Raw genomic sequence first — 24,461 nt, forward strand, 5'->3', positions numbered from 1 at the left:
CTATCTCTCTCTCTGTTTGACTGTTTCTCTGACATTACCCAAAGATAACTGTTTTTTTTTTCTGGTCTCAGAATTATTCGATGTCCTTTAGTAGTGAGGTCAGCTTCCACAAATGCCTAATTAAAAAAAATTTTCCTTAAAATAGGCAAGAGGAGGAGGAGTTGAATTCCAAACACCTGGAGTCTCCTTTGATTAGCAGTATTTAATTTCTGATAGTACCCAATTTATGGCATTTTAGTGAAGACAATTCTAAAAGTTAACAGAGAAGTCAGGCCAATCTTTCCGATAGGATGACACACTCCTTTGTAAATCTTTAAATGCTTTTCATTGCATTATTTGTGAGTAGGGACCAGCAGTGTTCCTAAATAGGAAGTGTGTTTTTTGCCAACAGTAAGTCCCATAGATCTCTGGTTTTCCTGTTTAGTGGAGGGTTACTAAGAGAGAGTACTTAATTTCTCACAGTTGGAAATTTTCCTGGTTTCTCTAGACCATGTAATTCTTCAAAATGTTATAGGGTAGACCAAGTTCTGAATTTTACCTGTGCTTTTGATTAGGCTTCAGTTTGTTTTACAGATTATTGTATTTCTTGTCTCCTTCTGTGCTTTTTCCACAGTGCAGGCAGTAATCACAATATCCTTCATAGAGTGTACTACCTTGCCCTTAAGGATGTTAGAAACGCATGGTATCGATTCCCATTGTGCATTTAGATAATAGCAATACAAGCACAGAATATTATCTTGGCACCATAGAAGCTCTACAATCCCCAAGTGTCAGTAGTACATTTTCTTCAAACGTTAGCAACCTCAATCCCTGGCAAGAAAAAAAACAGATTATGCAATCTATAATGATCTTACTCTTCAGCAAAATTCTATTTTTTTGTGTTCGTTATTAGAAATTTCCACAGACATATTTTAGCAGTCATATTTCTGCCTGCCCAGCTAGAGTAAGCTCAGTGAGGAAGGGGGTCTGTTGCTACTCTTCTTTAATGATGGAAACACTGAGGAGTATATGAGGAATTTTACCCATTAGATGTGTGAGGCTAAGAGATCTTTGATCATGCCACTGCTCTCCAGCCTGGGCGACAGAGTGAGACCCTGTCCCAAAAAAAAAAAAAAATGATATGTCCACTCATTAAAAACTTCTGTCAGACCACTCTTTTTTATAAATTTTTAAATTTTTTAATGATCTAACAAGCTTTATTTTTATCATTGTTAAAAAAATCCTTCTTTTGAGTAACACAATCACAAAGTAAAGAATGTTATCATTGATTTAACCAGTAAAAAAACAATACTTAACAATAAAATTTTTCAAACATGGCTCCAGGCCATCCAGATGACTTAGTTATCCTCCTTTGATGCCCTTCTCTTCTTCGAATGAATCACAATGAGGCAGAAAAATTTTCATGGGTGCAGAGTAGGTGTATATATTTATGGAGTATGTGAGATATTTTGATACAGGCATACAACATGAAATAAGCACATCATGGAGAATGGGGTATTCATACCCTCAAGCATTTATCCTTTGAGTTACAAACAATCCAATAACACTTTTTAAGTTATTTAAAAATATACAGTTATGATTGACTATAGTCACCCTATTGTGCTATCAAACAGTAGGTCTTATTCATTCTTGCTAATTTTTTTGTACCTATTGACTATCCCTACTTCCCTACTCCCCTCAGACACCCACTACCTTTCCCAGCCTCCATTCTTCTACTCTTTATGTCCATAAGTTCAATTGTTTTGAGGTTTAGATTCCACAAATAAGTGAGAATAAGTGATGTTTGTCTTTCTGTGCCTGGCTTATTTCACTTAACAGAATGTCTAGTTCCATCCATGTTGGTGCAAATGACTGGATCTCATTGTTTTACTGCATTTTGCATATGTACCATATTTTCTTAATCCATTCATCTATTGATGAACACTTAGGTTGCTTCCAAATTTTAGCTTTGTAAACAGTGCTGCAATAAACATAGGAGTGCAGATATCTCTTCAATATATTGATTTCCTTTCTTTTGGGTATATATCTAGCAGTGGGATTGCTGGATCATATAGTAGCTCAATTTTTAGTTTTTTGAGGAAACTCCAAACTTTGCTCCATAGTGGTTGTACTAATTTACATTACTACCAACGCTGTATGAGGGTTTCCTTTTCTCCACATCCTTGTCAACATTTCTTATTGCCTGAATTTTGGACATAAGCCATTTTAATTGGGGTAAGAGGGTATCTCACAATAGTTTTGATTTGTACTTCTCTAATGATCAATAATGTTGAGTATCTTTTCATAAGTCTGTTTGCCATTTGTATGTCTTCTTTTGATAAATGTCTGCTCAAATATTTTGCCCATTTTTTTATTGGATTATTAATTTTTTTCTATAGAATTTTTTGAGCTTCTCATATATTCTGGATATTAATCCCTTGTCAAATGGGTAGTTTACAAATATCTTATCCCATTCTGTGGGTTGTCTCTTCACTTCATTGATTGTACTCTTTGCTGTGCAGAAGATTTTTAACTAGATGTGATCCCATTTGTTCATTTTTGCTTTGGCTACCTGTGCTTGTGTGGTATTGCTCAAGAAATCTTTGTCAAGACCAATGTCCTCAAGATTTTCCTCAATGTTTCTTCATTGTAGTTTCATAGTTTGAGGTCTCAGATTTAAATATTTAATCAAATCATTTTTTATTTGATTTTTGTATATGGAACGAGATAGGGACCTAGTTTCATTCTTTTGCATATGGGTATGTAGTTTGCCAGCACCATTTATTAAAAAGACTGTCTTTTCCCCAGTGTATGTTCTTGGTATCTTGGTGAAAAATGTCTTTACTGTAGGTGTGTGATTTTGTTTTTGGGTTCTCCTGTTCCATTGCTCTATGTGTCTGTTTTTAGGCCAGTACCATGCTGTTTTTGCTACTATCACTCCGTAGTATAATTTGAAGTAAAGTAATATGATTCCTCCAGTTTTGTTATTTTTGCTTAGGATAACTTTGCCTCTTCAAGGTTTGGTGTTCCATATAAATTTTAGGATTTTCTTTCTGTTTCTGTGAAGAATGTCTTTGGTATTTTGATAGGAATTGCATTGAATCTGTAGATTGCTTTAGGTAATACGGACTTTTTAACAATCTTGATTCTCCCAATCCATGAACATATAATATTTTTCCATTATTTGGTGTCTTCTTCAATTTCTTTCATCAATGTTTTGTAGTTATCATTATAGAGACCTTTCATTCATTGGTTAATTCCTAGGTATTTAATTTTATGTGTGGCTATTGTAAATGGGATTACTTTTTTATTTCTTTTTCACATTTTTCACTGTTGGTATATGGAAACTTTGCTGATTTTGGTATGCTGATTTTGTATCCTGCAACTTTACTGAATTTGTTTGTCAGCTCTAATAGTTTTTTAGAGGAGTCTTTAGGTTTTATTCAAATATAAGATCTTATCATCAGCAAACAAGGATAATTTGACTTCTTCATTTCCAATTTGGATGCTCTTTATACCTTCTCTTGCCTGGTTGCTCTAGCAAGGTAATATGTTGAATAACAGTTGAATAACAGAATAAAAAAAAATCTCTGCAAAGTAAACAAATCTCACTAGTTTATCTGACTTGTATTCCAAATTAGTGCTTCTGGCCTTTTCTTAAAACTTTAAGCATCACAAGGAAATCAGTTGGAAGGGAATCATGTGCTGATCAAGTCCTTAAAGGGCAGAAATATTCACTGAAGTGAAAAGGATTAGTAAAGGGTGGAAAAAAAGACCAGCCCCCCGCCTAGTTTGGGTGAGCAGATTTGGGATTAATTATCAGGCAGCAATCCACATGCACTTAACAGTTCTGACGTGAGAGGACAAGAAACACAAGCAAATATAAAACATTCAATTCTAAGAGAAGTTCATCAGAGACATCCTTCAGGATTGTGAGGTACTGGAAAGAAGTCCTATGGGGAGTGGGTGGACACGTGCCAAAACTCCATTAGTGTAAGGGACTTTAAATCACAGAAATTAACTTGCTGGAAATCTGTTCCCAATTCTTCCTTCAGCTCCAAGGTTAAATTAAATGTAATTAATGATGGTGACCTGCTAATTCATGCTTTTGATAACTGATATCTAGTATGTATATATATATAAACAAAATGACGAGGACAGGGAATTTAATTATTTGGGTATCACACATGCAGGTGTTATATATGCCAAATTTTAAAGGTAAAATTTGTGTGAAATGTCACACTTTTATTATTTGTGTGAAATGTCATTTTACATATGGGTTCCATTTTGAAAGTGGTTTGGGAAGGGGGCATACCATTTTAAGTACCAAGAAAAACTTGCATAATCTCATTTTACTTTCTCTTTTTCAGCTGGATTTTCCTCTACGTGCTTCAGTCTTCTCTACACAAAGAGCTGCAAACCAGGTCTTTGTTTTGCACTCTTATTTCAAGCAGAATGAGTGCTCCTAAACTCCTCTCTCTGGGCTGTATCTTCTTCCCCTTGCTACTTTTTCAGCAGGCCCGGGCTCAATTCCCAAGACAGTGTGCCACTGTTGAGGCTTTGAGAAGTGGTATGTGTTGCCCAGACCTGTCCCCTGTGTCTGGGCCTGGGACAGACCGCTGTGGCTCATCATCAGGGAGGGGCAGATGTGAGGCAGTGACTGCAGACTCCCGGCCCCACAGCCCTCAGTATCCCCATGATGGCAGAGATGATCGGGAGGTCTGGCCCTTGCGCTTCTTCAATAGGACATGTCACTGCAACGGCAATTTCTCAGGACACAACTGTGGGACGTGCCGTCCTGGCTGGAGAGGAGCTGCCTGTGACCAGAGGGTTCTCATAGGTAAGTGGAGATATGAATGAGTTCATAAGTCCTGCATGAGACTCAAGGCTCTTAATAAAATCTTAAATCATTTGAGCTGGAGGAATACCTGGAAATCATATAGCTCAACCCTCTCTTTTCATAGTTGAGGAAACTGAGGCTTAGAAAGGTTAAGAAACTTGTTTAATGTAAAGGGTTGGAGTTGAAGCTCAGAACTTCTGATCAATATTTTATTCTGAAACATTTATTGAGCAACCACTATATCCTAGGAACTGTGTTAGGTATTATGACTAGTCAATTCAGTAACTCCTTCAGGTAAACATGTTAATTGTCATAGATGAGGTTCAGAAAGTTCAAATCCACACAGGTGATATTTAGTAAACCTGGAATTCATGCTGAGATCTACCTAGCCCTTATATTTTAGTTCTGCAACTACCCCTGCTGACCCTTAAAGAAGTTTCCCACCATGATGATCAAATTCAGCATTTGAGATGAAGAGTTTGGCCTGCAGACTAAATAGCATTAAATAACAAAGCACTAAACAGTAACAGCCAACAATATTTGATTGTGTTCTATGTGCGAGATAGTAGACTAAGGGTTTAAATGAACATGTATTGAGTCCTTACTATGAGTTAGGCCTTGGGCTAATTGCTTTTTATGTGTGTGGTCTTTGAACTTTCAATTCTGTAAAGCAAGTATTATTTTTATCCACATTTTAATGATTAAAAAAAAACTAAGACTTGGAAAAATGTGCCCAAAGTCATAGAATAATTCTCTGGTCTTAACTACTATGTTATATCACCTAATTTTCAAAGATTTATAATGTTAAAAAGACAGAAAATTCCAACAAAAATGCCAACAGTGGGCAGAAATCAACATGACAAGGTCACAGAAACATAAAATCCATAGGTAAGATTAAAGAAAGGTAATATAAATCATGCAGTAAATTGGAGAGAGAAAAGGGAAGAAAGAGAGAGAAAGCAGGCTTGAAGAAAGGGTTTTAGTTAAGGATATTTTTAAAAGTGTAAAATAATTTAAAACACATTTGAACAGATGGATAAATGGGTCGTGGTGTGTTACAAGATGATTATGCTCTTTCTCTACCCATCCCCGCAAGGCAGATGTTTTCATGCTTGAATTTTGTATCCCTAAAGTCAGGAGAAATCTTCTGGACTTAAGTAAAGAAGAAAAGAACCACTTTGTCCGGGCCCTGGATATGGCAAAGCGCACAACTCACCCTTTATTTGTCATTGCCACCAGGAGATCAGAAGAAATACTGGGGCCAGATGGCAACACGCCACAATTTGAGAACATTTCCATTTATAACTACTTTGTTTGGACACACTATTACTCAGTCAAAAAGACTTTCCTTGGGGTAGGACAGGAAAGCTTTGGTGAAGTGGATTTCTCTCATGAGGGACCAGCTTTTCTCACATGGCACAGGTACCACCTCCTGCGTCTGGAGAAAGACATGCAGGTATGTAAGAAGCATTTCAGTTTGCAGACTCTTTACAGACAAGATGCCTTGTTTGTAAGTGATTTTAATTCACTAGTTTTCAGAATCATCAGAACATTTGATGAAAAAGCAATTTTATGTTACTAACCTGTCTTTGGCATTTCGTTTTCTCCTTATTTTGGTTACTTGTTAATTAATCTTTATCTTGGTGAAGTGAAAATAAAGCAAAATCAATAATGAGCAAAATGAGACATTTGCAGGAATGAATTAAAAGTTTAAAAATATTTTGCAGTTTCATTGAAAACATGACTTTCATAAAGCTTGAAACAGAAGAATCTCATTTGCATGTCTTCCTTCTCTACTAAATATAAGCAGATTCCTCCTCCTGGTCAAGTGATGTGGGTTAGAGACTTCTCAATCTTTCCAGTCCTAAATGTATATCTCATCATTCCAGCGATGATTCCCTCCAACATGGTATAGGGTTTAAATCATGAAAAATAATTCCTTTCAATTTAGACTCTCATATTTTCATTGAACTATATTTTTCCACGTTCCCTACCCTTTGAGTCTTACAGAAGAAACCTATTAAAATATCACATCACTATATAAGAGGACAGATATTTTAATTTGCTTGGCTATAGTAATCACTTTACTATGTATATTTATATCAAAGCACCATGTTGTACACCTAAAATATGTAAAATTTGAAAAAAAGTTGAAAAATATCAAAATAATTATATCAGTCAGGCAATATTTTTAGTGAAAAGACATTGGCTTTTTATTTGGCACAAAGTGAACCTCAACTCAAGCAGTTATTTCATGCTTATTTTCTAAGCAGATAAGCTTCAAACATATTAAAGTATCTAGTTACGTAGATTCTTTACTCTTATTTCTTTTACCAACTGCTCTGTTCCTTGAGAAAAATATGGAAATTTTAAAATAAAAGTTTAAGTTGTTAGATCTCAACTAGGAAATCCACAAAGTAAACCTGTTTTCTATGTGAAATAACAGCAATGAATCTCCCCCTTCAAGTTAAGATATAAAAATTAAGCTAAAAATATCTGAAGAAGGGAAAGGCGTTTAGATTCATTTATTAATTTGCAGAATGCTGTGCCAGCATTATTCCGAGAAAAAATAAATGGTTAGAAGAGAGAGAATTAATGCACTAACATACAGGATAAAATATTCTTTTGAAAGTACACTATCCATTTGCAGTTTGAGAGTGATTAAATGAATTCATCTGATACTCTGAACGTCATATTTTATAGCTCTGATTGCAAGTAAGACATTTAGTAGATTATAGATAAATCTGTCATTTGTAATTGACTGCAGATCTTCATGCCTTCAAGTCATTTTCTCATGGGCACACCAAAATGAAAGGGCAGGTGGAAAGTATCTAAAAGCTTCAATTTTGCCTGTGTAAACTTCAACCTCTATGACTTACATTTTAAAGACCCAACAGCACAAGGGATGCAACAAATTAGAATTTAAATGTAATTCGTGGTTGAAATGCCACATGAATATGCTCTGGCTCCCAAATGTCAGTTGCTGAACCACAAACCGATTCTTAATGATCCCTTGGAAGCTGTCACTAATTTTTGTGAACCACAATGATGGCTTCTAAAGGAGGACTACAAACCCCTGGAGACCAATAACTGGGGATAACTTGGAAAGCTTTTGGCTCTCTAAAACACCCAAGGATAAGAAAATGCTTCCTAGGAAGGGATTTAAAGTGAAAAAGTAGAAATATACTGAGTGCTTGAGAGATAAGATAAAACAATTGCAATCCCTACATTTAAATCCCATACCATAAATAGAACTTCTCAAGGCACCAAAGAAATGAGAAATAACAAGGAAATGTATGTTTTAAAGAACCGAATGAAATAAGCATGTGATCTTGAGGCCAGCATTTTTAAAAATGTGAGATCAGCTTTGAATGGAAACTAGGTCTCTGATCTAAAAAACAATGGGCAGAAAGATTTACTCTGCTTCTGTTTAGCATTTTTATCAGTATAAATTTAGGCAGAAGCCTGAGTCTTAAAAGTTTAGATTCTAAGGCAGGGTTCCCTAAATAAAACACCTTCCGTGCTCAGTGTGAAAGAGTCCATTGGCCTGTTGCCAAACCAGAATCTAAATGCCTAGTCATTCAAATTAAATTTAAAAACAGAAGCAAAACAAAAATTAGCACTCCACAAAACATATTTTAAGGCTGGATCTGGCTCCAGACTAAGAGTTAATGATGCTTGAATTAAAGATAGGAAAATGGAAGAAGGTGGAAATGCCAAGAAGTGGATGTTGTTATTGATAACTTTTTTGTATAACCAATATAAATGTAATTATCTGCCTAAAAAAGAAAAAGAAGACCCTTTATCCCTTTAAATCATTTTCAGAAATGTCTGCATAATGAGTTGAGTTTCATTCCCTCTAATGCCTAAATGACACCTTGTAATAAATTACCAGCTTTGTTAAATAAGGTTTTAACTCCTCTGGGCCCCTCAGACACCGTTGATATACTAACCAGTACCTTATTGTCTGAAGAGAGCTAATAGAAATAGACTGTCAGAGAGTAGACCAAACAGAAATGAATAATTGTAAACAGAAGCAGAGAGTATTAATGTGGTTTCTGTGATCTAGGAAATGTTGCAAGAGCCTTCTTTCTCCCTTCCTTACTGGAATTTTGCAACGGGGAAAAATGTCTGTGATATCTGCACGGATGACTTGATGGGATCCAGAAGCAACTTTGATTCCACTCTAATAAGCCCAAACTCTGTCTTTTCTCAATGGCGAGTGGTCTGTGACTCCTTGGAAGATTATGATACCCTGGGAACACTTTGTAACAGTAAGTTCCAAATGATAGCTTGGAGTCAGAATTTCTTTTTAGATAAAGAGATTAAATATGTTGCCTGAAAGGCCCTTCATTCTACTAGAGAATTCAGACTAAAATCTACTTTTATTATAGAGTAACAGTGTACCAGGCATTCATTAAACACCTAGAATGTTCAAGGTACTCTAGAAGTTGCTCCAGGGGAAACAGAAAGTGCCTACACATTTTTACACTGCCTTTCTTGAGTAGTTTGGTCAATATCTTGCTAACTTTCTTATTTTGGAAATGTCTAGTTGTATAAACTAATCCTCTTAGTTTTCTTAGCACTACTTAGAAGTCATGTGTCTTGTGTTGGAATTTCACAGAAAATGTTTCCTAAGAAAATGTGAAAAATAGGCAAAAAGTTGGAAATGCCCTGGGAAGAAAAAAAAGAAAAGAAGCAAACCAAATGTATGCTTGCAGTTATAAAGTTAGAAAACAAAAGCTGATATGGGGGATAGTTTTCAGAAAAGGAGTATATTGTACTGATGTCTGCCCCCTAGCTGCTTTCCAGCTCTTCCAAAGTGAACACAGTAAGAGTACGCCTAATCAGTTGTCCCAGCATCCTTTCTCCAGTGATCTGAATGCCACCACTGTCACAGGTCAAGTTTCTGCCACATGTAGATCTCTTCCTGAGCTTTCTGTTCTCCTCCTTGGATCATATTATTATTTGTGCCTGTGGTAGTAACACAAGGTTTAATTATTAGACACCCCCTACCTCATCTTATTTTTCTTCTTCAGGCATGTATGGCTCTTTTGATTGTTCTTCCATATAAAAATAAGAGTTATGTGAATTTGTTTTCTTATTATAATCACCACATACTTATTCTACATGTATTATTTTATGCATCAAGTATTATTTTATGAACTTAAATAAGAAATACTCTAAATAAATCAGCAGGAATTAGATACATATTTTCACCATTAGATTATTTAGCAATGTATAGGAATAAGAGAAGTGATAATATATGAAAATTTCCTCTGTAGAAGTTTAAAACTTAGAATAAATTTGTATTTGTTTGGTATGCTGAATGCATGATCCCACCTTGTGGCAGAGAACTGAAATTGAGGATCAGGATGTCTGCAGATGCCAAAATGTTTATACTCTTTGTGACCAGGCCATTGTATTTTGGCCTGAGAGTTTTCTAGACATTTCCCAATCACCCTGATGATTGGATACCAAAATAAAACACAGTTTAAATGAGTGAATGCAATCATAGCACAGGAGGGGGAAGAAAGAGGAAGAGATTTTCTTTTCATCATAATTTTTCTTGTCAATTAATATAACAAGTCTCCTAACTCAGACACATAGTCTCATGACAAATTGAAGAATATTTATTTTAGGTTAAAATATTTTTAAGATTATCCCTTGTCTCACTGCAAGAGATAAATGGCAGACATTTTATTTATAAGGCAAAGGAAAGGGAAAAACTATCATTTTATTGAACATATATTATGTATCTGATATAGTATGAAATGCATTGATATAGTATCCTATTTAGTCTTCATAACAATTCTCTCTTCTATTACTGTTCTTCTTTAATGATCTTGTCCATTTCTGTAGTTCCATTCGTCATCTTTTACTGGAGACCCACACGTTTCCACCTTTAGATAAAACCTTCTTTCTTTAAATATTCCATACCCATGTCTTCACATGCTTGTTGCATAGTATTTCTCCAATATTCAAAATTAATGCGCCAAACTTGGTGGATTGAAAATAGTTAATATTTTATTGCAGCTAACGTTCTTCCAGCCACCAAAATACCATCTTTGAATCAACATAGAAAAACACTGTTCTTTATTCACAGTACTTCTCAAATATATTTTCTTCTTCAGACATGGGCAACTTTCCATTTATTTTTATGTGGAAATTCCACAGGACTTTGGTCCATAGGATGTTAGGTGCAATGGCAGAGTTTGTCCATATGCAAACAAATTTAAGAATCACTGGAATAAAAAACAAACTGGTTTATTTTTTATATAAACTAGTTTCTTTACTGTCAGCATTTTCTACAATGGAACTCTGTGAGGGCAAATTAGAATGTAATGTTTTGAAACTCAAGTAATTAATATTTGTTTCTTGGGATTTATTGATAGCTTCCTGAGCAGTAATCCCCAAAACATCAGCTTGAATTGATAGTCTAGCTAGTGATGGTGAAAGTTTTGGGTGATAATGTACACTCAATAAATAGTTTCCAATCCCACCTGAGGCATATGTTTTAGTTACATATTATTTAAATTTCATTATGCTAACTTAACAGGTTCTGATTATTACGTTAATTATAAAGCATAGAACATGGGAGGCTTTCTGAATGAAGGAAAAGGAATATGAGTTGAAGTTGTAAAATTATCTCTCACCAGCTTAGTGGATTGTTTTGCTTGTCCCTTTACGGTACATATATTCCTTTCTGGAGACCACTGGGACAGAATGATGCAAAATTTTCCTAACCAATCACCTCTCCTCCCACCCATCTAAGGTTTTGACTTCTCTCCACTTCCTAATAAATCACACATAACTTTCTTATCTTGATACTTGATTTTTTTTTCACAATATAGCTCTGGTCTAGCTTCTTTTCTTTCCTACAGTCCACTACTATCCTGGCACATACTCCAGGCAAACTATTTCCCAAACAGGCCCTCCCCCTTTTTTTGTTTATTTTACAGCTAACATGATCTTTTCCATATAATGACAGGCACCAAACAACTCTTCAGCACCTATTCAATGCCAGGTACTGTGCCAAGTCTGTGGGATACAAAGTTTTTTTTTGTTACAGATAGGGGGTGTTATAGACAGAAGAAAGTGTATCATCTCTTGCCATTTCCTCTGCCTAAAATGTTTGTCTTGTAAAATTTATTTCACCTAAGAAAATTTTTCTTAATCCTATGGGGCTTTGTGTAAATCTCTCTTCTTTATAAAGCCTTTCTGGAGATCTGACTGGGCAGGATCTCTCTCTCTCTTTCCCTGCTCCCTCCCACCATCTCTCTTCTTTAAGGCTCCTATCATATTATCTATCCCTAGTATCACAGTTCTTTGTTTGTTACTGCCCTTCACAAAGTTTCATTATTTCTCACATTAATTGCTGAAAAAGTTGAAAAATGTGTGTTGGTTGACATATGTATCACTTTCCAAAGAAATGTAAGGGTTTTTTTTTCCTTATTTCTCTGAAGGTTTAAATAGACAGCATTTGCATACAAAATATCACATATATGTGACATAAAGATTTTAGTGTAGAACTAGATTTATGAGATTATTTTGGCAAAATTCAATTTTCCATGGAATTTTCATTTTAATACATTCTTGTGGAAGAAGCATATATTGATTTAACAAATATCAACACCTGTATCTGTTAGTGTGATTCTTTTTTTTCCTTCAGATACTTTTATGTATCTCATATCTACTTGATTCAAAGAAATGGGACATGGTAACTTAGATTTTCTCATTTTAATGCTACCAAGTATGCATTTTTAAATTTTCTTTTCTACCAAGGAAAACCTATATTTCATATTCATGCTATGTATAAAGTTTTAAAGAGCGACAATAAGAACTCCAAACATTGTGTAAATGTTTCCACATCCCATTTTTTTCTGCAGGCACCGAGGATGGGCCAATTAGGAGAAATCCAGCTGGAAATGTGGCCAGACCAATGGTGCAACGTCTTCCTGAACCACAGGATGTCGCTCAGTGCTTGGAAGTTGGTTTATTTGACACGCCTCCTTTTTATTCCAACTCTACAAACAGTTTCCGAAACACAGTGGAAGGCAAGTAAATGAAATCAGTATTTTTAAAAGATCTAGTTATCAGAGAAAACTGAATTATTCAAAAGCAAGTTTCTTTGAGAAGGCTTTGAATAGTATATTAATCCTGTGTGTTTATGTGAATGAGATTTTCTATTATGATACACCTGCTTGAAAAAGGAACTTTCTTAAAAAGAAGAGTCAACCATGAAGCTCTTTTCATTATAGGTGAAGCCCTTGGAAATCATGCTCTAATTTCTTAAACACCCAAAAACTTTTTAAATTCAAATTTCTGGTAGCTAGCTGGCCAATATGTAACTATATCAAGGTCTCTAGCATTGGCAAACAATATTCAAGACTTTGACAGTGTATTAAATTAGTTTAGTTTTTTTTTTAAATAGAGTAATAAAAAAAATTCCAAACAATTAGTTGACACTGAGTAAAGCCTTGCTTGCGCATATGTTTTATTTAGGTCCGTATTAACCTGTAACTTTTTTCAAAGGTCTGTACAAATTCAAATTAGCATCTACTGATGCTTAACTTGGTTTTCCTTATTTCACACAAAGTATTTTAAAGCTGAGGAAAGTGAGGTATAAACAGGTAAAATTACTATCACAAGATATTCAGCTAGTTACTAACAGAGCGTAGGTTCAAATTCAAGTTTTCAAAATCCAGTGTCTTTGTATAATAAATTTTGATACCTCCAAATGATGCTTGATATATATATATATTTAAAGTCTTCAAAAGAATATAATTACTTTTATCTTATAAACTTGTTATTGTTAAATTTTTACCTTCAATATAGCATTGTCCATGTCTAATGCATCCCATCTCCCCAAAAAATGCAAATACATTTCTCTGCCCTATGATCAGAGATACTTGGTATACAAATCTAATAATTATTTTTAATTCTCTCACCTTTTAGTCTCAAAATTATATGCCATATTAACCTATTTTTGATCATTTTAATAACTACCTGAATGCACTGATTTGAATATGATTCAATAAAAAAAATCACTATATTTTGGCTAATCTGTAAACTAAGGCCATCAGCACTGATGTTTTAAAAAATGTACAGATTGTGTCTTCTTAATGCCCAATCAGAAGACAATTATACTTATTTCCTGACAAAATGTATAAAAAGACGAGTGTCAAGCCACGTTCCATATATATCACAGACAATCTTTAAATGTTTTTGAGTCAAATAACAATGGAATAGATGCTTGAAAAAATGCATAGGTGGCTAAATAAGTGGCTACAACTATACAATTCATCTTAGATGAAGAGAGAACTGGTTAACATATTTTAAATTCTGATTTCATTTTATAATGCACAACAATTCCCTGATCTCAACCCTCTGGTCCTTCAACCCAATTAGACAGCCTACATTATAGACCCTCCATTTTTATTTATGACCTGTCTTATACCAATCCTTGTTTTCTCCCTTATATATGGAATATATATATATATGTGTGTGTGTGTGTGTGTGTGTGTGTATATATGTGTGTGTATATGTATATATGGAATTGAGATATTTATCAAAAGCTGTATAAATGTTTTGACAGTAGGTTTTCCCGATGTTTAAAACTAGCACAAAGATGGAAAGAAAGCCCTGAGGAATTGTAGCTTCCCCACAAAAAATAGTTTTCCAAAAATAAACGTGCTAACAGTCATTCAAAAATAAGGTAGGAGGCTGAAGTAACATCTGGCAACTTAAGTTCCAAGACAACCAGAGCATTCTTCTCCCAATTGTGTCAGCAGTTTTTAGCAGAAACTGGAGATTTTCACTATCTTTATTCCCATGTAGAACAATGTCTGCCTTGTCAAATAGAGTGTCTATATATTTTGACTGGTATCCTTTGCAGGTCATTATTTTTAACCTGGAGGCTACATTTAGAATGTCATGCCACTAGCATAAAACCAGCCTAGCTCTGGGTATAGCAAACAAATGTCATCAACCATAGGTACAGAGAAGCAGTGCTGTTATATTAAGGCAAAAATTGGCCTGACGAGCCTTGAAAAAATTGTTTCCCAATATAATCATTGCTATTACCTGGAAAAGTGAAATATTTGCAATAGTTTTACTATTCTCCTCCTTACCATGTGTCTAGGTTACAGTGACCCCACGGGAAAGTATGACCCTGCTGTTCGAAGTCTTCACAATTTGGCTCATCTATTCCTGAATGGAACAGGGGGACAAACCCATTTGTCTCCAAATGATCCTATTTTTGTCCTCCTGCACACCTTCACAGATGCAGTCTTTGATGAATGGCTGAGGAGATACAATGCTGGTAAGACATTTTCATATGCCTTTTGCATGCTCAGCTGGGCGGATTGTTTAGATGGCATAGTTATCAGTTCAAGCTGAGCACTCAGCGCATAAAAACACTTTCAAAATAAGGATAGCATAGCTGTAATATCAAGTCACTTCCAGACATTCAATTCTACTTTGAAAATGCAGGCAAGAAGTCTCTCCAAATAGTTATTATAGGATGATATTTTTAACCATTTGCTGGGACTAACCAAATCATCTCTCCTAATTTTTGCTACGAAAAAATGGCTACTATGTTTCACAAATTGTTCTTACCCTCATCTTCCAACATAAATTCTCATTACTTTTAAATATAAATGAGGAAAACCTTATAGAGCTCTTCTTTGATATCCCAAAAGACTAAAAATTTTATACCCATAATCCACAGTTCTTATTTTTATTACTTAATGGCCCCTCACAAATAGAAATTGTGTTCCACTTGAAAAGTTAATGTTGGCTTTTATATCACACTATAGGAAATCTCTTTTAAGTTCATTTCAATGCATTCTTTAAAATACTATTTAAAAGGCCTCTTTCTCTGCCTTCCTATGCAGCTGAGAGGCTAGCATTATTTTTCAAACAATAAAAGTGCTTCCACTGGTTAAAACATCGCAAATTTTCATAGGTTGAAAGCATTCTAAATTTTGGCTTTTGTGCCTTTAGCTCATAACGCACATAAACCTGATATTGTAGCTTAACTACCTATTGATTTATGTATCCATTAGGCATGCTTTCATTTCTATGTGTGTATGTGTGCAATAACGTCCTCTAATCCAACCTAATTAGGACCATTAATTGATGAAATTGATGAAAATAGTTTGTTCCATCAAAAATTATTTAAGAAACAACTTACACATAAGCCTGTAATCGCAGCACTTTGGGAAGCCGAGATGTGGGGATCACTTGAGCCCAAGAGTTTGAGACCAGCCTGGTCAACATGGTGAAACCCCGTCTCTACTAAAAATACAAAAATTAGCCAGGCATGGTCATGGGCACCTGTAATCCCACCTACTGGGGAGGCTGAGGCAGGAGAATCACTTGACCCTAGGAGGTAGAGGTTGCAGTTAGCCAAGATCACACCACTGCACTCTAGCCTGGCTGACAGAGACAGAGTTAGTTTTCAATCAGTTATGAATTCAGTTATTGCAGTTTCATCTCATTTTCATGTGTATTTATATACATAATGACAACCATAAATCTATAATTTACACTGTCAGCTTTTTTAAAAGTGAAACAATAAATGAGTGACTTTTGAAATACAATATGAGGGCAAATATTTTAGCCATACACCTTTAACAAATCTTTCCAAAATGTTCAATTTACATACTATAAAAACAACATCCTTCTCTTTGTTTTACAGTCATGATGACCACTTTATGTTTGTTTAACTAGATTACTTTTATTACAGTAATGAGTAAACTCAAATTAATAGGTTTAGGAATTAACAAAACCAGCTTTTGTTAAACATGCACTTCTGGGAACTACATGGCAATGTTCAAGTTGTATTTATTCAGTTATTCACAATGCCGTGGGTGTTAGTAAACTTTTTAGAGGAAATGGAGACTATTCAGTAACCTGGCAAGTCTCTTAAGTGGAGTTTTCTTTCACCTATGAAAGAAAGGAAAGATATTCCTTCACCTTGTGTATCTTGGCTGAAAATATAATTATTTCACATTGATAGCAAGTTGTTAAAGGTTCTCCAGATTTTAACTTAAAGGTCATTGATGAACCAGAAAAATACCTTTTGAACATTTTTTTCTGACATTTTCTTTGTTTGCAATATGTGTAGCATAAGGTTTCTCAGTAACTTGAATTGTAGTGGGAAGAGAAATACCGTAAATAAAAAATAGGAAACTACCCTGCAGCACATTTCTGATAAAATGTGGCCATAAAATTATAGGATAGGTCAATGTAAACACTTGCAAACTGCATGAAAGCTAAGCTGAAACAATTAGCCTCCTTCTTAAATATTCCTTGTACCTGCAAATACGTTTTAGAAATCAGTGTCATAAAACAACTGTGAAGAAGAGAAAGAAAAATTAGAAAGATTAAAAAAATTTATAAAACTGTCTGTAAAGCAAGAGTCTTGTTTAAAATAAGTCTAGGAGTGGAGGGATGGAATTCTTTTTCAAAATGATTGAAAGGTTTTTACAAATATAGAAAGCTCTTTACAAATTGCAGAATAATAGAATTATTAGGCTTGGAAAGGAACAAAAATTACACTTTACAGATAAAGAAAAGTGGAGTCATTCAAATATTAATGTCCATTACAGGTTCCTTTCATTAGACATGAAATAGTACAATTGAGAGCATCCAAACTCTAGTTACTACCATGTTAATTTCTATTTACTAACATTTCTGATCTATATACACATTCAATTCAATTCCTTCTCTTTTATTTCAACTGAGAATTATATGAATTAAGTTTTAAATATAGCAGCCCAGAAGTTCAGTGTATTTTCAGAAGAAGCAGTTTATACGTTTCCAAGAGTGATCACTACTTTACTTTTTGAGCTGTGAGAGAAATGAAGTAATCACACGTACACTTAAGTCTTTTCATATATATTATTTTCAAATCTACTATTTCCTGGTCAGTATTCAAGGTACCAGAAATACGATGCTATACAAAATTCACCAACAAATTTTCTTCCTGAAACTTTTCTTCCTGTTGATAAAATTGACAATAACCATATGTAAATACATATACAGCATGTTAGATGGTGGAAGTCTCTATAGACAAATAAAATCAGGAAATAGGATAGGCAGTACTGTGTAGATATATGGAAGAAGAATGTCCTAAGACAAAGGAACAGGGAGCCAACTGTGGCTGGAGTAGAGTGGGGTCTGGGGAGAGAGTGGTGAGAGATAGTAAGGTCAAAGGGATAACAGGAGGCAGAGCTGTATGCCACAGCAAATTACAGGTTTATGTTTTCTTTGGCTTTGAAAAATACATTTAATGAATTTTATTCAAATTGCTTTATGTAATTTTTAAAAATTATTCAAGATCACCATAGGTGATGAAATACTAAAACTCCCCTGCTTTTAAACTCTCTTTTTTATTAAGTGGTATATTGGTACTGTATTCAAAGCATTTTCTGTTTTATGTAATTTCTCATCCTGCTGTAGTGAAACTTCATATCTTTATTCAGTGTAAAATAAGAATAAAATTTTTTCAGGTTCTCCTTGAATATTGGATGCCTTTAGAACTCAATAATGATAGGAATATTAATTTTATTATGTTTATTAATACGTTGTCTTTGGAATAATTTAGATATATCCACATTTCCATTGGAAAATGCCCCTATTGGACATAATAGACAATACAACATGGTGCCATTCTGGCCCCCAGTCACCAACACAGAAATGTTTGTTACTGCTCCAGACAACCTGGGATACACTTATGAAATTCAATGGCCAAGTGAGTGTTGAAAGTGTATTTTTACTGTGATAATTTCCAAAAGCAAATGTGTTATCTTTCAAGTAGAGTAATCACGGTATTCTGAAGCTATGTTTTCCATTTGGACTTGGAAACTTTCATTTGTACTTTTATTTGAGGATAAGGGAAGGAATTTGATATTTGTTGAGAGTCCACACTAAGCTGATATTGATCTTATTGTACAGCACCCTATCTCATTTAATCCTCACAATGCTTTGGGGTGAGTATGAAAATCTTCATTTCACAAATAAGGAAGCTGAGGCTTAAATAGGTTAACTGTTACAGATTCACATTTCTAATGAGGGAAGAGAATGAGTTTGAGCTTAGGCCCATGGAATATGCCCCAATTTTTCTACTATACCATATTGCCTGCATTTATCTATCTTAAAGGAAAAGGGAGTGAGATACTCTTAGGTATTTTTCTGAGATTTTGAAGTTCAAAAGTTTTTTGTTTAAATCTTTTCCCCAACAAAGGCAGTAGGGCATAGTGGAAAAGTACAAGACTTATATTCTAAAATATCCGGGCTCCAAAGCCAACTTTATTGCTTACCAACCAAGTGACCTGGGTAAGTGACTCAGACTCATTGAGTCATCATTCTCTCACTTTCACAAAATGAAATGGAAATAACAATGACTATCCCAATAGGGTCCACTCATTAAAAGAAATCAGGAAGTGGCTTCAAGGCCATGTGGCCAATGTAAATTAAATATGAGGATTTCTGTTAAAATAGACATTTCTAAATTTCATCTGTCCACTTTTTGGTGATAACTATTTTAATATTTGTCTTTTTATTTTTATCTTCCTTTCCAAATAGGTCGGGAGTTTAGTGTACCTGAGATAATTGCCATAGCAGTAGTTGGCGCTTTGTTACTGGTTGCACTCATTTTTGGGACTGCTTCTTATCTGATTCGTGCCAGACGCAGTATGGATGAAGCTAACCAGCCTCTCCTCACTGATCAGTATCAATGCTATGCTGAAGAATATGAAAAACTCCAGAATCCTAATCAGTCTGTGGTCTAACAAATGCCCTACTCTCTTATGCATTAGTATCACAAAACCACCTGGTTGAATATAATAGATTGAGTTATTAACTGTATTTTCTTTCACTTTATTACCTTCTTTCTAATACAAGCATATGTTAGCATTAAAGTTCTAGGCATACTTTTCAAAGCTGGGAAGACCCTTTCAGAATCTTTTCAATGGGTTTTAATTTTCAGTTCTATTTAAAATGGTGAATGACACTAAACTCCATGATATTTAAGGATAGTGTGAAGATCTTTGGCATGATTTAAAGGTTGAGTATGTGAAGATATAAGTAAGTGAACTACCATGCTTTGTTTACGTGTAAAGGAAAATAATGTTTGATAGTAAATGTCCACTTAAAATACATGAATGGGCATTTCTAAAATGTTAAAACATAAACACATTTCCATTCATGGATATTTGTCAACAGATTTAAAGAAAACCACAGTTATTAATTAAAGAAAATTAATTATGTGTAGTTATAAACCAATGAAATTTTGATTAACCTTTTCAAATTAATGTTCCAGTTTGAAGACCAATCAAATATATTATTTAGTCAACATATACTATTTAGTCTCAGGTTCAAGGCTACAACAAAAATCACCATCTTTGTCAAACTTTGGAGAGGGAAAATCTTCACTTTCTTAAGCAACAATGGATATTGCCTGTGTTTGCCACTGTGTTTCCCTGCCTCTCAATTCGCTGAAAAAGGAACTACCTATCCTTACATTTCACCTACTAATGTCTCTTCTAACATCTTAGAGGTCCATGGAGAAGGCATATGGAGAACATGTTTTATACTGCTCTATAAATAGTATTCCAATCACTGTGCTTAATTTAAATAGCATTATCTTATCATTTATCAGCCTTTTATGTATTTTCCAAGTAAAATATTAACATATTATTTCATTGGTCTTCTTTTTTATCTGGTTCTATATGAATGCTATTTTTTCCCTTCTCTTCTAACATGAAATATATTTTCTCTTTTTGATCTTGTGCTATGAAACAATCTTCCAAAGAACTGTATAAGGTGGTCATAAGTGAATATTTTAATTAAAATTGGTAAAAATAAATAATAACAGTAATAATCATGCACTATAGAAAATGGCTAAACTGAGATTCTAAATTCTACAAACAGAAACAAGTTTAAGTTATGTATCCCTGATTGGTTACTGGGTTTTCCTATATTCAAAAATATTAAGGCTATATATACACAAGATAAACAAATAAAATATATCAAAGAGCATGCATATAACAATAGGATGTTTTACACTAGCATTATTCAATTTATTCTCTTGGAATACATTGCGATTTGTTAAAATACAGTATACTCACAGCTTTTCAAAGAAATTACTGTGTAATGTAAGATGCCTTTTTATATAGAACATCAATGAAACTAAATACTTCACTTTATATTTTTGTAGACTTACTAATTACTCATTTCAGAAACATTTATTAAGCACATACTAGATATCAAGTATTTCAAGGCACTATAGATTTAGAGAGAAGAAAATAAGAATTGTAAAATTGAGAAGGTCATGTTTGACTTGTACTTCAAGGACTGCCAATGGATTTACCAAATATAGAAGCAGAGAAGGGAATTTTATTCAAAAGTGACAGCATGGACAAGGGCACAGAAGTTTAAAAGAGCATGGAACTTTTTAAAATATAAAATAGGTCAGTGTGATTACAGTATAGTTTTTATGGAGGGGAGTAAAAAGATAAATTGGAAATAAAACCAGAGTGTCCTATATGCAATTCTTAATACTTGGAATTAATTCCATGGGAAATAGGAAACAGGGAGAGTCATAATCAAGCTGTATATTTATAAATATAGTAGTGATGGTGCTGTTCACAAATAACGTTGATGAGAAATAATTTGGAATGGTTAAAAGCAAAGAAACTCATTAATATGGAATAGATTGTGGGAGAGAGGAGAAAGCCTTGTTTCAAAGCATTAATTCTAAATAATCATAATTATAAGATAAAGTTGTACACATCTATAAATAAATAAATACAGCTTATATTATAAATACTATATAATATTGAAATTATAAGTATAATATAAATATAGCTTTAAGTAAATCATTACAAAAATGTCAGTTAACAATGGAAGACTGTGAGAGAGAGGATTAAAACAAGAGCAAAACAGAAAACTATTAACAAAATGGCAGTTAGTAAGTCCTCAGCAATCAGTAATTATTTTAATGTAAATGGCTTAATATCCCAAATAAGAATGCTTAAAGTAGCTGAGTGAATCAAAAAACATGATCCAGTGACTTGCTGTCTATAAGAGACTCACTTTAGATTTAAAAATACATATAGGCTGGAAGTAAAGAGATGGAAAAGGATATTATGAAAATGGTAAAAAGAAAAAAAAAAGAAAGCAGGGGAGGCTATCCTATCAGACAAAATAGACAAAGTCAAAAACTTCCTCTAGAGGTGAAGTTCATTATATAATAATAAAAGGGTCAATTTAACAAGATATAACAATTGTAAATATATACATATTCAATATCAGAGCACTTAAATATACAAAGCAAATGTTGATAGATCTGAAAGGAGAAATTGATATCAATACAATACTAGTAGTAGAATCTAATATTCCACTTTCAATAATGTATAAAACATCCAGGTAGGAGATCTATAAAGAAAGAGAGTACTTGAACAACACTGTACACCAGTTGGACTTTAGGGACATATACATTACATACCACTCAACAGCAGCAGAATATTCTTATACTTCAGCAACATGTTCTTCTCAAACACAGGTGGAACATACTCCAGGATAAATTACATCAGACCTCAAAACAAGTCCCCCCAACATTAAAAAGATAAAAGTCATTTCAAAGATCTTTTAAGATCACAATTGAGTAAAATTAGAAATCAATAGTGCAAGAAAGTGGGAAATTCACAATGACGAAAAAACAATACACTCTTAAATAACCATTGGGTCAATTAGGAAATCATAGAGGAATTTAAATTATATCTCAAGGCAAGTGAAAACAAAAACACAACATATCAAAACTTACAAGATCCAGCAAAAGTACTAAAAAGGAATTTTGTAGCAATAAATGCCTACGTTGAAATCTAAGGATCTCAAATGAACAACCTAGCTTATACCTCAAAGAACTAGAAAAAGAACAACAAACTAAGCCCAAAGTTAGCAGAAAGAAATAAATAATGAAAATTAGAGTAGAAATAAGTACAGAATAATAAAACAAGAGAAAATTCAGAAAATTAAGGGTTTTTTTTAAAAAAATAAAAAAATGGACAAACCCTTAGCTAAACTAAGAAGAGGAGAGGACTCAAAATCAGAAATGATAGAGGAAGCATTAAAATGTGTTCCTAAGAAACAAAAGGATCAGAAGAAACTTTTATAAACAATTATATGCCAACAATTGGATAACTTATAAGAAATGGATAAATTCCTAGAAACATACAACATACTAAGACTGATTTCAGAAGAAACAGAAAGCCTGAACATAACAATAACAAACAAGAAAACTGTTGCATAAGCACCCATTTCTTGTTGCATAAGCACCCATTGCATGTGAGTGCTGCAAATTGATCTAAGCTTTATAGTCTAAGTGGAGTCCATTAAAATATCTGACTGTCCTACGCGTGAAAAATAAAAAGCTATTACTTTTTTGGCCCTCAGTTATATCTTGTCTTCATGTCCAGAAGCAGATTTCACACATAGTGCTTACTTACAAGTCCACATAATTTTAAAACATGAGAAGATAAGTTTGGGGCTATTAAAATACTGTTCCAGGGTTCGTTTATAAGACATTTGTTTGGAGCTAAGTCCATGAATATCCAATAATGCTATGTATTTTTCCTTTGCTATAGCCTGCTCAAAATTTTCACAACCAACTGATCAATGGAAGATCAAGTTGAGCAGAGAGCTAATATGAATGTGAAAACATAAATTTAAAAAATGTATCTATAAACCAAGAACAGAGTCTGATATGAAATAGACAAACTTTAATAAGGAAAAATGCAAAATCCGGTAGTTAAAAAGCATGATGGCAAAACTGAAGGGTAGAAGGAGGCAGGAGTTTTTGCAAAATAACCAGGGAATTTTAATTTCAAATTAAATATAAGCCAATAGTGCAATGCAACCGATAAAGGGAAAAATCAAATACAACTGATCAAGTTGGAAAACAGTGAGCTATTGGGCTTCATTAATCCACAAAAGGAAATATGTGGTAAAGTTGGAATCACACCTGGCCTATTTATACAACTTTCAGGCCACACATTAAGGGGAACATTGGCAAACTGATCTTCTGCCTGGATGTTTTATCCATTATTAAAAGGGGAATATTGAAGTCTACCACTATTATTGTATTGCTGTCAATTTCTCCATTCAGATATGTCAATATTTGCTTTATATATTTAAATGCTCTAATATTGAATATGTATATACTTATAATTGTTATATCTTCTTACTGAATTGATCATTTTATCATATAATAACCTTTATCTCTAGAGACAATTTTCAATTTTAAGTCTGTTTTGCCTGACATAAATATAGCCATTTCTGCTTTCTTTTTGTTACCATTTTGGAATATCTTTTTCTATCTTGTCACTTTCAGCCTATGTGTATCTTTACATCTAAAGTGAGTTTCTTGTAGATAGCAAGTCACTGGATCTTGTTTTCTTCATAATTCAGTCTTGACGTATTGTTATATTAGTTCATTTTCACAGTGCTATAAAGAAATACCCAAGACTAGGTAATTTATAAAGGAAAGAAGTTTAATTGACTCACAGTTCCGTATGGCTGTGCTGGGGGAGGTCAAGTAACTTACAATCATGGCAGAAAGCAACGGAGAAGT

The 24,461-nt window shown here is 33.8% G+C and overlaps 1 protein-coding gene and 1 long non-coding RNA gene across 3 annotated transcripts in view; one reads left to right on the forward strand and one right to left on the reverse strand.

Annotated features, from left to right (window-relative positions):
- On the forward strand, positions 3,823-20,723 carry TYRP1 (tyrosinase related protein 1). 2 transcript variants are annotated; one of them, NM_000550.3, is made up of 8 exons: positions 3,823-3,916; positions 4,350-4,819; positions 5,953-6,275; positions 8,889-9,093; positions 12,709-12,876; positions 14,964-15,143; positions 18,435-18,581; positions 19,415-20,723. In NM_000550.3, the coding sequence occupies exons 2-8, from the start codon at positions 4,435-4,437 to the stop codon at positions 19,618-19,620; spliced, it is 1,614 nt and encodes a 537-aa protein (NP_000541.1). In that variant the 5' UTR covers positions 3,823-3,916; positions 4,350-4,434; the 3' UTR covers positions 19,621-20,723. The 2 variants fall into 2 exon arrangements, with proteins under 2 accessions (NP_000541.1, XP_047279797.1); XM_047423841.1 differs by lacking the exons at positions 8,889-9,093; positions 18,435-18,581; positions 19,415-20,723.
- LURAP1L-AS1 (LURAP1L antisense RNA 1) overlaps positions 10,437-24,461 on the reverse strand; it is a 114,391-nt gene continuing 100,366 nt past the window's right edge. The window contains exon 4 of the long non-coding RNA NR_125775.1: positions 10,437-11,064. This is a non-coding gene — a long non-coding RNA (LURAP1L antisense RNA 1). The remainder of the gene's footprint in view (positions 11,065-24,461) is intronic.

This window comes from Homo sapiens, chromosome 9, assembly GCF_000001405.40.
Source record: "Homo sapiens chromosome 9, GRCh38.p14 Primary Assembly".
In the NCBI taxonomy this organism is placed as follows: domain Eukaryota; kingdom Metazoa; phylum Chordata; class Mammalia; order Primates; family Hominidae; genus Homo; species Homo sapiens.